Source organism: Homo sapiens, chromosome 13 (genome assembly GCF_000001405.40).
Source record: "Homo sapiens chromosome 13, GRCh38.p14 Primary Assembly".
NCBI lineage: Eukaryota > Metazoa > Chordata > Mammalia > Primates > Hominidae > Homo > Homo sapiens.
In genome coordinates, this window is record NC_000013.11 from 41,818,314 (window position 1) to 41,830,717 (window position 12,404).

Consider the following 12,404-nt stretch of genomic DNA (forward strand, 5'->3'; position numbering starts at 1 on the left):
TAATCCCAGCACTTTGGGAGGCCAAGGGGGGGTGGATCAATTGAGGCCAGGAGTTCAAGACCAGCCTGGCCAACATGGTGAAACCCCGTCTCTACTAAAAATAGAAAAATTAGCCAGGTGTGGTGGTGCGCACCTGTAGTCTCAGCTACTTGAGAGGCTGAGGCAGGAGTCTTGAACCCAGGAAGCAGAAGTTTCAGTGAGCCGAGATCACACCACTCCAGCGTGGGCAATAGAGCAAGACTTAGTTTCAAACAAATAATAATAATAATAGTAATAATTTAACATGGCTAGTGCTACTGCATTGAAGCGTGCAGTTCTAAAACTCCAAAAGTGCTAACCACAATGCTTAAGGCACACATTAAAACAATGGATCACACACACTAGTTGTCATCAAAGGACTAATCAGGCAAGTACAGGATATGTTACAGTCTTGAGAGACCAGGACTACTTACTATTTACGTGTCTGGCCTCCTTTTATAGTAGGAACTTAAAATAGTCACTTTTCACTAAACAGAAAAATAAAAAGGATTCGAAAATGGCCTCCACCTGAGGAAAGAGGAGAGACAGGCCACATTCATGGTTCTTAGAGTGTGGTTCCCAGACCAGCAGCATCAGTATCACCTGAGAACTTGTTAGAAATACAAATTTTAATATAGCATCCCAGATCTACTAGCTCAAAAACTATGGAGATGGAGCCCAGAAACCTGTTTTACCAAGTCCTCCAGATGATGCTGAAAAATGTGAAAGTTTAAGATCCACTGACCTTCACCACTGTATGAAGAAATTTGGGAGTAAATGGGAAGAAAAAACTAAAAATGTCTAACTCTACTTTGGCATGTATCAGAGTGCCTTAAAAAGAGATCAGCTTTTTAAGAAAATAGACTAAGATTGGCTTTCTTCTTACCTTTTCCTTAATCACTTGGATTTCTTCACTTTTCACAAGTGGTTTCATGTAATGGAAAAAGAACATGGTTAAGAATTCTGGTCCCAGCCACTGGTGTGCTGTGCTTCCAATAACAGGGGGTTCTGCCAAGGCAATGATTCTGAAGGAGGGATGGATAGGAAAAATGGATCTAAAATAGGAAAAAAAATGAAAAAAAATAACATATCTTTCATGTAAGAAATCAGATCATGGTAACTAAAGTCTAGGCAACGTTAGGGCTATCATACTGTTAATAATGTCAATGTTATCATCCAAAGGATTAGCTTTGAAAAAAACAAAGTCAGGACATTCTAAGAACCTAAGATCAAAACAAACAATCACCTACTACCACTGCTAGTAAATGCTGTACAATAACCACTCATGAAACTCCAGCCCTGACACGAACCACTGCTTTTGATATACTGTTATGCCTACAACATATTTTCTCCATAATGTCTTGAAATAAAATCCCATCCAGTTCACATTCATTATATAGACCATCTTTATTCATTTAAAACCCCTCAGAATCTCCTGTCTCACAAGGAACCCACTCTATGTCAATCAAAAAGACCAAGAGGCACAATTCAGGATAAGGAGACTTTACAGTACAGAAAATGTAAGAAACATAAAGGGTTAGATTGAATTTAAAATTTAGATTGGGAATAAGAACACTTAAGTCTTAAAAAGGCAGAGAAAATAAAACCTTTATAGAATGCATTCTTTGGTCATTCTTATAGGAAATGTTATGATTTTAAAGTGATCTCTCTTAAAACTCTCTGGTAGGGAAACTGAGGAAGCATGTAAATTTTCTAGTACACACAGAGGAGTAAGATAAGACTTCCTTTGGTTTGTGAAATGACTTGAATTATTTTTGGAAAACCTAGAAACCCTGTATCAGAATCTTAATCATGTGGATAATATTGTCCATTTTTATCAATTCTACTAAAAAACCCAGCAGAAATATGCTTTTTGAGGGTAATATAGTTCTTGCTAAGAGAAAGGAGAGATAAAACATAAACACTTGCCAAGAGCTTCAGAAAAACAAAAATATAGGTACATAACTGCCATTTCACCATTAACTATAACATTATATTACAACCCAAAAGTTAAGTGACTAAGCAACTAGAATACCAGGAGGTAGGACACAAGTGGAAAGAATCAGATGAGTACTCTGAAGAGTTAAGACCAAGTGCCATCAATACAACAGGCAGGTCTACCAAGTCCCTGACGGCATGATCTGTAATTTTAAAGGCCACATCATCATTTGAAAACAAGGGGAAACCAATTTTTAGAAACTGGTCACATGAAAGGCCTAGATGAAATGAATTCACAAATACTACCAGATGTCATTTCATTTCTCTAGGTAGAAAGAAAAAGACTTATTTGCAGGTGTTTTAGCAGGGCCTGGGGGAGTGATCTGTCCAAGAGTTGTTCTGGAAAAAGAGGGAAGGATAACAACATGGACAGTGCCTGAAAGTCCAGAGGATAGCACAATTACTTAAGATTGCTAGTAATTAGATAGCCACGTGACAGAAACTGGACACAGAAAATCCTGTGAGGGAAAGCCAAAGAGGGAGGTTATTCCATTTTCCACTTCTGCTAAGTGGTTTGCTATAATCCAGAAAACTGCCATAAAGCCCAGCAACAGATGTTGGATGTATCCTTGATCCTCTTCTCTCCTAGTTAGGACAAAAAAAGGTAGGAGAGAAAGAGCCTGGTTTGGCTACCCAAAATTAAAGCTGCAGATGTAGTTTCTCACTTAAGATAGTGAAGGATACCAAATCAGGGAATAAACAAAGTCAAAATACAACAGGCAAGCCAAAAGGGGAAGTCTAATTTATATCCTTAAACCAGTAGATCAGGAAGCCAGGTACCACAGTGGAGCTGTAAAATTAGAACTAAAAGAACAACTAAAATGAGAGCATGCTAAATGGTTTACATTTAAAGGTGATGATAATTTACTGGCCCATATATTGTCAATAGTTTGCTTTTTAGTATTGACTCCAGCAGCGTTCTTAAGTAAGCTGGCCAAATTTGAAGAAGGCAGTTTCTAAGACAGCTGATATGTTAGGCAGAGAAATGTATAATGATTATAAAAACAGTCACCGAACTACTGAATAACAGGATGAGAAGGGCCTTTTTGTTTGCTAGGTTCTCCCTAAAGGCTTCCTTACATACAAATAGGTTACATGGGAAGTCATTTCCTGATGATGCTAGCTAGGTTCCACAAGCCAGAAAGTTAGAGAGCAGAGGATCTGCTGTGTACTTAAGGTGATCTGATAAACTGGTGGGTAATACAAAGACCAAAGAAGTGATAGATAATGAAAAAATTATGAGATAAGTGCCATTAAAATTTAAAATTAAGGTTAGGTTTAATTTTACTAAAATTTTAGCAACAAGAAAAAAATAAATGAAACTACAGATACGGCTTAATTTCAGACAAAAAGATATTATTTCCTAAAGATTACAGATTTAGAGAGCAAAAAGATCATTTAAAACAATTTTTAAAATAAAAATATTGAAGTCACTATGTTTGTCTGTGGGCATAAGTGTGAGTTTTTATAAAGTACTTTCTGATGCTTCTCACCAGTAAAAAGGAACAAACTATCAATGTACGTAACAACATGGATGATCTCAAAACACTTAAGCTATGTGAAAGAAGCCAGACAAAAAAGAGCACACACTGTGTGATTCCGTTTATATAAAACTCTAGAAAATATGAGCTCTATATAATGACCAGAAGCAGAGCCCTGGGGATGAGAGAGGAGGGTAAAAGGTGCAGGAGTTGGGGATGTCAACGGGTCTGAGGATACTTTGAGGATTATAGATAGATTCATTATCTTGATATTGGTGATGGTTTCATGGGTATTTATAAATATTAAAAATTATCAAACTGTGCATTTTAAATATGCATAGTTTATTATATGTCAATCATACCTCAACAGAGCTTTTAATAAAACAAAAAAAGACTTCAAAAATCTCCAGTTTTTAAAGGGAATCCTATGGTACATTTTCATTGAATTTGTACATTGGGGAACTTGAAAGAATAATATGGAAGGATTCTATAAATACATCAATCATGAGCTAGAACAGATTTCATCATTAGTTTTCCATACTACAATACTAATGTTCCAATTTAGAACCCAGAGTTATACAGTTCTGTACACAGACCATATTTCCCCTTTTTCCTATGCAGTGTAGCAAACTGCATGAACACATTCCTTATGCATCTTTTTATCACCCAGGGTCTAGTGTAATACTTGGGGAAGAAAGCAGACGCTAAATAAGTAAGTGTATACGGCTATTGTTAATGACCATCATTGCTATTAACTTTTTGAAGATCTTTGGTGGGAAGGACAAACAAAGGTAAGTAATAAGAACTGAACTTATGGTGTCCCAGCCAAAAGCTAGTCAAACTTGGTCCTGAATAAATATGTAAGAAGAGGTACACTCTCTGAATCAAAAAGACAAACTCAAAACATACAATAATAAATGATTACATCACTTATAAAGTACTTTCTGATGCTTCTCACCAGTAAAAGGGAACAAACTATCAATGTACATAACAACATGGATGATCTCAAAACACTTAAGCTATGTGAAAGAAACCAGACAAAAAAGAGCACACACTATGTGATTCCATTTATATAAAACTCTAGAAAATATGAGCTCTATATAATGACCAGAAGCAGAACCCTGGGGATGAGAGAGGAGGGTAAAAGGGGCAGGAGTCGGGGATGACAAGGCAAAGGGTTTCAAATGGTTCCTTGACCATAAAAATGTTCAGAAAAAATTATTTTCAAAATCAGAATTTCCTTAAGGCTTTTTGTTTTGAAAATCAAACACAAAGACTTGGGCATAAAATCCTGGATCTATCTAGAATTTTTTTAAAAAATTTATATGGTCTGATTTGCTTGCAAAGAAATACCAAGATTTCTAGGAAGCTAGGAGATAGTGCTTGGATCCTGTCTTCAAATACGGGTAAGAGTTAAAGGGTTGAGATAATATAACCGATCAAGGATTGTGCTCAAATGTCCAGTTATGTTCACCGCTAAGATTGAGAGATTATAAACTGTTTTCAGTGTTCAATAGCAACAAATATAAATAAAATATTTAATAAAAAATGCAAAAACACTGGAGCATATATAAGTACATCTAAGACTAGGCCACTAATCTTTATTGTTTCCCCAAGATAACCAGAAGCCCTTTCTTGGCAATATAAACTGTTAATAACAGAAACTCTCAACTCCCTCATTTATGGTCTGGCCAACAGCAGGAAAAGACATATTTAGCATCCTATAGTATTTATACTCCCCCTTTCCCTAAAGAAGTTTTTCTCATCAAAGGAAGGAGTTCTATTTTGGTCTCTATTTCCTGAGGGAAATACAGGCATAGTATCTGGTGTATGTGGCCATCACACTATTTCTAACCACCACGTCCACAGCATTCCTGGTGTCTTGTAATATGAGAAAAGAAGACTCCAACCCTTCTAAGGGTATGTTAGGCATGTGATTACCTGCAGAGAATATAAAAGCCTGTAGAGCACTCCGGAGATCATCGAGATGTATAGTCTTGGTGAAGAATTACTATACAATGAAGGTTGGCAAAGAAGCCAAATATAATTGTTTAGAAACCGGGTTTCACACTATAAAGTTGAAAGGGTTGGTAGCCCACTGCTAGAAGCTGTTAATTATGAGACCCTCAGTTAATAGACTTTGTCATTAAAAGGCATCAAAGTATTCCTAATTACTAGGTTCACATAAGGAAACACTGCTAGCTCAGAAGGTCAACTAAAACTGGATTAATAGAGTTACCCTTACCTGAGTTTCCTCTCTGAAAGCAGGACAGGTATCTAAATTTACCAACTGGGTCTAGAAGCAAAGAAGCTCTTAAATCTGTCTTGGTCTTGGAAAGGGCTAGAGGAATGTCAGAGAAGGTTTCACAGAGGACATCACTTTTGAAGGAATAGCAGAAGTTTGCTGTGCTGGTCCTGAGAGGTGAAAGATGAGGCTGGCAAGGCAGGCATGTGTAGATACTGGCCCTAAACACTGTAGGCGATGGAAACCACTGAAGGACTTAAACAGTGATGTGATCAAATTTACAGATTAGACACTTTAAACTTCTAGCCTATGTGTGCGGAGAGGAAGGGGTTTCATTCACTAACTTAAGGTAACTTAAGAGGAATAGCAGGTTTGTAGAAATGAGTTCAAAGTTTCTCTAAGACACCTAAGGAGAGATATCTAGTAGTCAGATGGCACTTAGGAGACAAAACTAGATTGGAAAGTGGTTTTAAAGAATGCTCAGTATATTGGATGGGTGCAGTGTCTCATGCCTGTAATCCCAGCATTTTAGGAGGGTGAGGAGGGAGGACTGCTTGAGGCTAGGAGTTCAAGAGCAGCCTGGGCAACATAGAGAGACCACCATCTCTACAAAAATAAATTTTTAATTAGTCTAGTGTGGTGGTGTGCACCTGTAGTTCCAGCTATTCAAAAGGAAAGCTTGAGCCCAGGAGTTTGAGGTTGCAGTGAACTATGATAGCACTACTGCACCTCAGCCTGGGTGAAAGATGAGACCCTATCGAAAAGAAAAAGAAACAGAAAAAGAAAAAAAAAAGAAAAGAAGGGAAGGGGAGAGGAGGGAAGGGGACCGGAGGGGAGGGGAGGGGATATACTGAGAATGCTCAGTATATCAATGACAGATAAGGATATAAGAGTGACTGACATTGCCCAAGGAAAAGAAAAGGCCAAGGAGAAAACCCTGGGAGCTACCAATTTAAACAATATCTGAAACCTTTTCCAACCTCTCAAGGCACAGTTACTAGTCAATTCATCTTCTGTGTTCCCACAGCATTTTATACAGACCTGCAGTCTAACACTAAAAAACTGCATTGTGTTTATTTATTTACATATCTGTCTTCATGTGTGGTACACCACAGATGGCAACAAGTGTGTCATCTTAGAGCTGGCCCTCAATAAACATTTAACCTGAAGGAAAGAATGAAGTAATGCTAACACTCAATAACAAATACTTATACTCGCCAAATCAGTTATCTCCAATCATCAGTCTATAGATAGGATCATCTGGGTACTATTCTGGGAGCCTAGAGAGTGAATGACTCCATGGATTACCGTTATAACATTCATGTTCAAAAACACCATCCAATTGCTACAGTTGGAACAAGAGCTTTAAAGCCAACTCTCAGGAGGCATTATTCTACAAATTAGTAGAAGTTGTCCTAGGAGTACTGATTCCCTGGAGGTAGATTTATTTATTTGTACAAGACTGTAGAAGCTGTTCTTTCTGTTAGGCAGCTGCAAGTGATACCCCCCGAGCATCGACCATCCCCAGCCTCCAGAACTCTTCCTCTTAAAAAAGCAAAACAAAAACCTTCCCTGTCTTTCTACCTTTGACCTTTTTCTCTCTCTCAAAATCTTCCACAAAAAAGCTTAATATAAGTAAATAAAATAAAAGCTGAGTTTCTTTAAAGACTATTAGAAATAATCACTTTGCTAAAATTCAGTTCTGTGATTAAGTACAGAAATGAAAGGACAGACAATGTGGGTCATAAGTTTCTAATGTGGAGTTCAAATGCTACTGCCAAAAGTGATGTATTAGCTATGACCAGCATATAGGATCAACACATGCTAGATAATGGGTCATATTACTTATAAGAACAACTCATGAAATAAAGTAATTTCCTCATTCAGTACAAATTTGCTGCTTTTACACTGTGCTGTGTCTTTTTAGTCAAGCTGTCAGTCTTCTACTCAATAAACACAGTCCTGAAAGAAGTACTGCCAAGCAGCTTAAGAGAAGAATCTAACCTATTATAACCCTAAAAAAGAACATATTTATTTTCAGAAAGACAAAAATAAGTTACAACATTAAATTAAGGCTAAGTAAAGGTAAAAAAATTTACCAACAATCCATACTATCAGAGTGAAGCAGATTCTGTAACATGACTGTGTTTAACAACAAAATTAAGAAAATGGTGTGGTTCTCAGGTAAAAAGAAAAATTACAGATAAGGAAAGGGATTAGGCTTTCAACTGTTAGAAATATTCAGACAACAAAGAAGAATCATTGTTAGGACATCTCACCTCTGAAAAGTTAAGGACAGACCAAGATCCTGACAGAACATAATAGAGAAAATAAAATAAAATTAGAAGTTCAGCCCAGGAGGCTCAACATACATCTAAATAATAAAAGGTACAAGAAAAAAGACCAGAGGAAACTGAGTAAGTGGGAGTGGAGAGATCTAAGATGATGTAGGAGCTACAAGAATAAAGAGCCACAAGCCCAGATTAGAGTTCATCAGAATATACCATGGGAGAAACATGAAACTGACAGAAGGGCCAGGAGTGGTGGCTCACACCTATATTGCCAGCACTTTGGGAGGCCAAGGCAGGAGGATCCCTTGAGGCCAGCAGTTTAAGACATGCCTCAGCAACACAGTGAGACTGCTCCAAAAAAAAATGGGAAAAACAAAACAAAACGGGTGTGGCGATGCGCAACTGTAGTCTCAGCTACTCGGGAGGCTAAGGCGGGAGGATGGTTTGAGCTCAGGAGTTCAAGGCTGCAGTGAGCCGAGATTGTGCCACTGCACTCCAGTCTGGTTGCTAGAACAAGACCCTATCTCAAAAAAAGATAAAAAAAGAAAAAAAGAAATTGATAGAAGATGGAATTGATAAATATCATGTGTGCCTGAATGTACTGAGGGGAGATTTAGACAGTAAGGGAAGTGTTTGGGATTAAAAATAAGGCAATATATACATAGAAACAGTCACTTTCTCCTCAATGCTCCCATACAGTATTATACAGACCTTTAGTCTAACATTTAAAATTACATTGTAATTACTTATTTACATATCTGTCTCTCTTCATATGTAAGTAATTATTAACTTGAGGAAAAAACAAGATATATGCAAGAAAGGAAAATGAGTGTTGTATAGTAAACTGCTTAAGTGGGTACAGCTCTTAGGTTATCATAATAATGTAAGCATTGAATAAAGTTCTAAACAAAATTATTATATAACTCTTTAGGAAGAATAAGGGATAGAAGTGTGCATGTGTAATGAGACAAGAGGTGGTGAAAGAGCTAAACATTAATTTTCCATGTAGAAATCAACAGATTATTCCTAACACTAAAAATAAATCAAATATCAATGAAAGTATACTGTTTAGTGACATAGAAGTAAATACCAAAAGAAAAACCTGAAGTTTGAAAGTAGTAGCCTCTGGGGAGTAAGATGTGGGAAATGGGAGACTGTCAACTGATCAATCTATGACAGGGGATGGTATTTTTCATAAAATACTTTGAAAAACTATCTGGCTCTAGTTTCGTGCATGTTTAACAGTGGTAAAATTTCAAATGAAAATTTTTAAAAAGTAAGTGAAGGAAAGAAAGCATTGCTATGATCTCTCTCCACTTTCTCCCAGTGACCTCTGGAAATAGAGCTAAGCCTAGTTTGTATTTATGAGAGTGACATAAATCCATAGTGATGAAGGTGGAAAACTTTGAGAAGAAAGTACTATTAACCACTCTGAGCCAAATTCCTGAAAGTATTTTCATTTGTAAAACTGCCTGTGACCATTAGAGAACTTGGGTACTTTTCATAGAAAAGGGTTGTCATTTCCTTGACATTTGGAGACAAGTAGAATGCTTCTGATGTCCTAAGAGAAACTGCCAGGCAGGCATGCTGTGAACTATTGCAAAATTGCTTTGATTCATCCTTCTGAAAATATAAACTGTTCCATGACCCGTGATTCACATGCAAATAATGTGCCAAAGCCGACTGCTATTAACCAAAGTTATGATATGCGAAGGATCTCTAACTTGCCTCCCTAAACACTCAACCAACCATTTACCAGTCTAAAAGAATTTGATAATGTATACCTCGGAAGTAAAAGCAGCTGTGTAATCAAGTGACTTTTTAGTGACTTGTAAAGAGACAGGAAGGAATTTAACATTTCCCCTCTTGGAAAAAATTCCAAGAAATTTTTTAACAAATTTCTTCTTAAAATATAAACAATAATAAATACACTTAATTATCTTTTACGGGATTTAAATGTTTTAAATAGGGCAGTAAACCCTTTGAGTGGTGATACAGCTTCAATTAAACAGAGAGATTAAGTGATGAGGAGTTCCTCTGTATGCCAATCTCTAATTCTGTTAAAATATCCATGGAAATGTAGCAAGATAGAAAATAACATATTTGTCAAACTTCATTCTATATAGTATGCAGCTGAAAGAAGTATTTTCCTTCAAACTTTTTGTTTTGAAATTTTTTTAACTCACAGAAAATGTCAAAAATAGACTACAAATATCCATATATCATTCACCTAGATATTGCTAACTGTTAAGATTTTACCACATTTGTGTTCTCACTCTGAGAAAGAGAGAGAAAATGTCTGTTTATACACACACACATACATGTCTTTTTTTCTGAAATATTTGGAAGTTGTAGACTTTTTTTTACTTTATCCCTTAAGTATCTCAACATGCATCTCATAAGAATAGGAATATTCTCCTTCATAACCACAATATCATTATCATACTTAAGGAAATTAGTAATTCAATAATATCATATAACATAGTCCATATTTAAACTTTTCTAATTTTTTTATAGCCGTTTTTATTTTGTTTCCTCCTCCAGGATTCAGTCAAGTCTCACCATTGCATTTGGTTGTTACATCTCCACAAGAAATGTTTAAATAAGCTACAATGGGTAATCCGATATCAGATGGCATACTCCAACAATACTGATGACCTCCTTGGAGGATGAGCCCAGTTAATTGTGGGCCCAGCTTTAGTTTTGTTGAGAGAATACAAAATATGAGATCAAAACTGAATTGACAGGGCAACAGAGGAAAGATTACCTTCTTAAAACCAATGTTCTTATAAAACATTTAAATGCTTATTTAAAAGTAAGGCTGAAAAGAAAAACCACAATGAGATACCACCTTACTCCTGCAAGAATGGCCATAATTAAAAAGTCAAAAAATAATACATGTTGGCATGCATGTGGTGAAAAAGTAACACTTTTACACTGCTGGTGGCAATGTAAATTAGTATAACCACTATGGAAAACAGTATGGAGAGTCCTTAAAGAACTAAAAGTAGAACTACTGTTTGATCCAGCAATCCCACTACTGGGTATCTACCCCCAAAAAAAGATGTCATTATATGAAAAAGATACATGCACATTCATGTTTATAGCAACAGAATTCACAATTGCAAAGATATGGAACCAACCTAAGTGCCTATAACCAACGAGTGGATAAAGGAAATGTGATACACACACACACACACACACACACACACACACACACATGCACACACACACACACCATGGAATACTACTCAGCCATAAAAAGGAATGAAATAATATCTTTTGCAGCAACTTGGATGGAGCTGGAGGCCATTATTCTAAGTGAAGTAACTCAGGAATGGAAAACCAAATATTGCATGTCATCACTTACAAGTGGGAGCTAAGCTATGAGGACACAAAGCATAAGAATGATATAATGGACTTTTGGAACTCAGGGGCAGGGAAGCTTGTGGGGGGCGGTGAGGGATAAAAGACTACATATCAGGTACACTGCTCAGGTGACAGGTATACCAAAATCTCAGAAATCGCCACTAAAGAACTTATCCCTGTAACCACAAACCATCTGTGCCCCAAAAACTATTGAAATAAAAAATTTTTTTAAAAAAATCACTGTCGGCCGGGCACAGTGGCTCACGCCTGTAATCCCAGCACTTTGGGAGGCCAAGGCGGGCGGATCACGAGGTCAGGAGATCGAGACCATCCTGGCTAACAAGGTGAAACCCTGTCTCTACTAAAAAATACAAAAAATTAGCTGGGTGTAGTGGCGGGCGCCTGTGTTCCTGGCTACTTGGGAGGCTGAGGCAGGAGAATGGCATGGACCTGGGAGGCGGAGCTTGCAATGAGCCGAGATTGCGCCACCGCACTCCAGCCTGGGTGACAGAGCGAGACTCTGTCTCAAAAAAAAAAAAAAAAATCACTGTCATATTAACAACAAAAAAGCAAATAAAACAGTTGATTAGGTTTTTTTTTTTAAAAAAAAAAAGTAAGGCTGAGAGTACAGATTACACCTTGGAGAGCAACCTCAAGTTTTAAGAAATGCCAAAGTAGTGGCATATCCAGGACACCAAATTATTAAATTGTTCAAAGTTATCTTGGCATTATTCTAGGTTTAGAAAAATCATAAAAAGTATTATTTTTAACTTAACAATAAATTAGCAATGGGAGTAATGGACCCCAAATTACCTCTTCTGTAGCTGTTCATCAGACAGTTGCAGCTCCTCCTTTAAACGCATATACCTGTCTTCTCTCAGCAGCCTAGAACCATCATAGAGGCTTAGCTCTCGATCATGGATTAACCTAACAAGATAAGAAAAAAGCCCGAAAATAAATTAATGTGTTTTGAACACTGAAGTTTTCAGAGGCAGAATCAGT

General features: G+C 36.9%; 1 protein-coding gene across 2 annotated transcripts in view; it reads right to left on the reverse strand.

The window, feature by feature from the left end:
* VWA8 (von Willebrand factor A domain containing 8) overlaps nucleotides 1-12,404 on the reverse strand; it is a 394,275-nt gene that overhangs the window by 251,479 nt on the left and 130,392 nt on the right. For both annotated transcript variants that reach the window (NM_015058.2, NM_001009814.2), the window contains exons 14-15: nucleotides 12,216-12,329; nucleotides 905-1,073 (exon numbers count right to left, since the gene is read on the reverse strand). In NM_015058.2, coding sequence (NP_055873.1) covers nucleotides 905-1,073; nucleotides 12,216-12,329 — 283 coding nt within the window. The remainder of the gene's footprint in view (nucleotides 1-904; nucleotides 1,074-12,215; nucleotides 12,330-12,404) is intronic.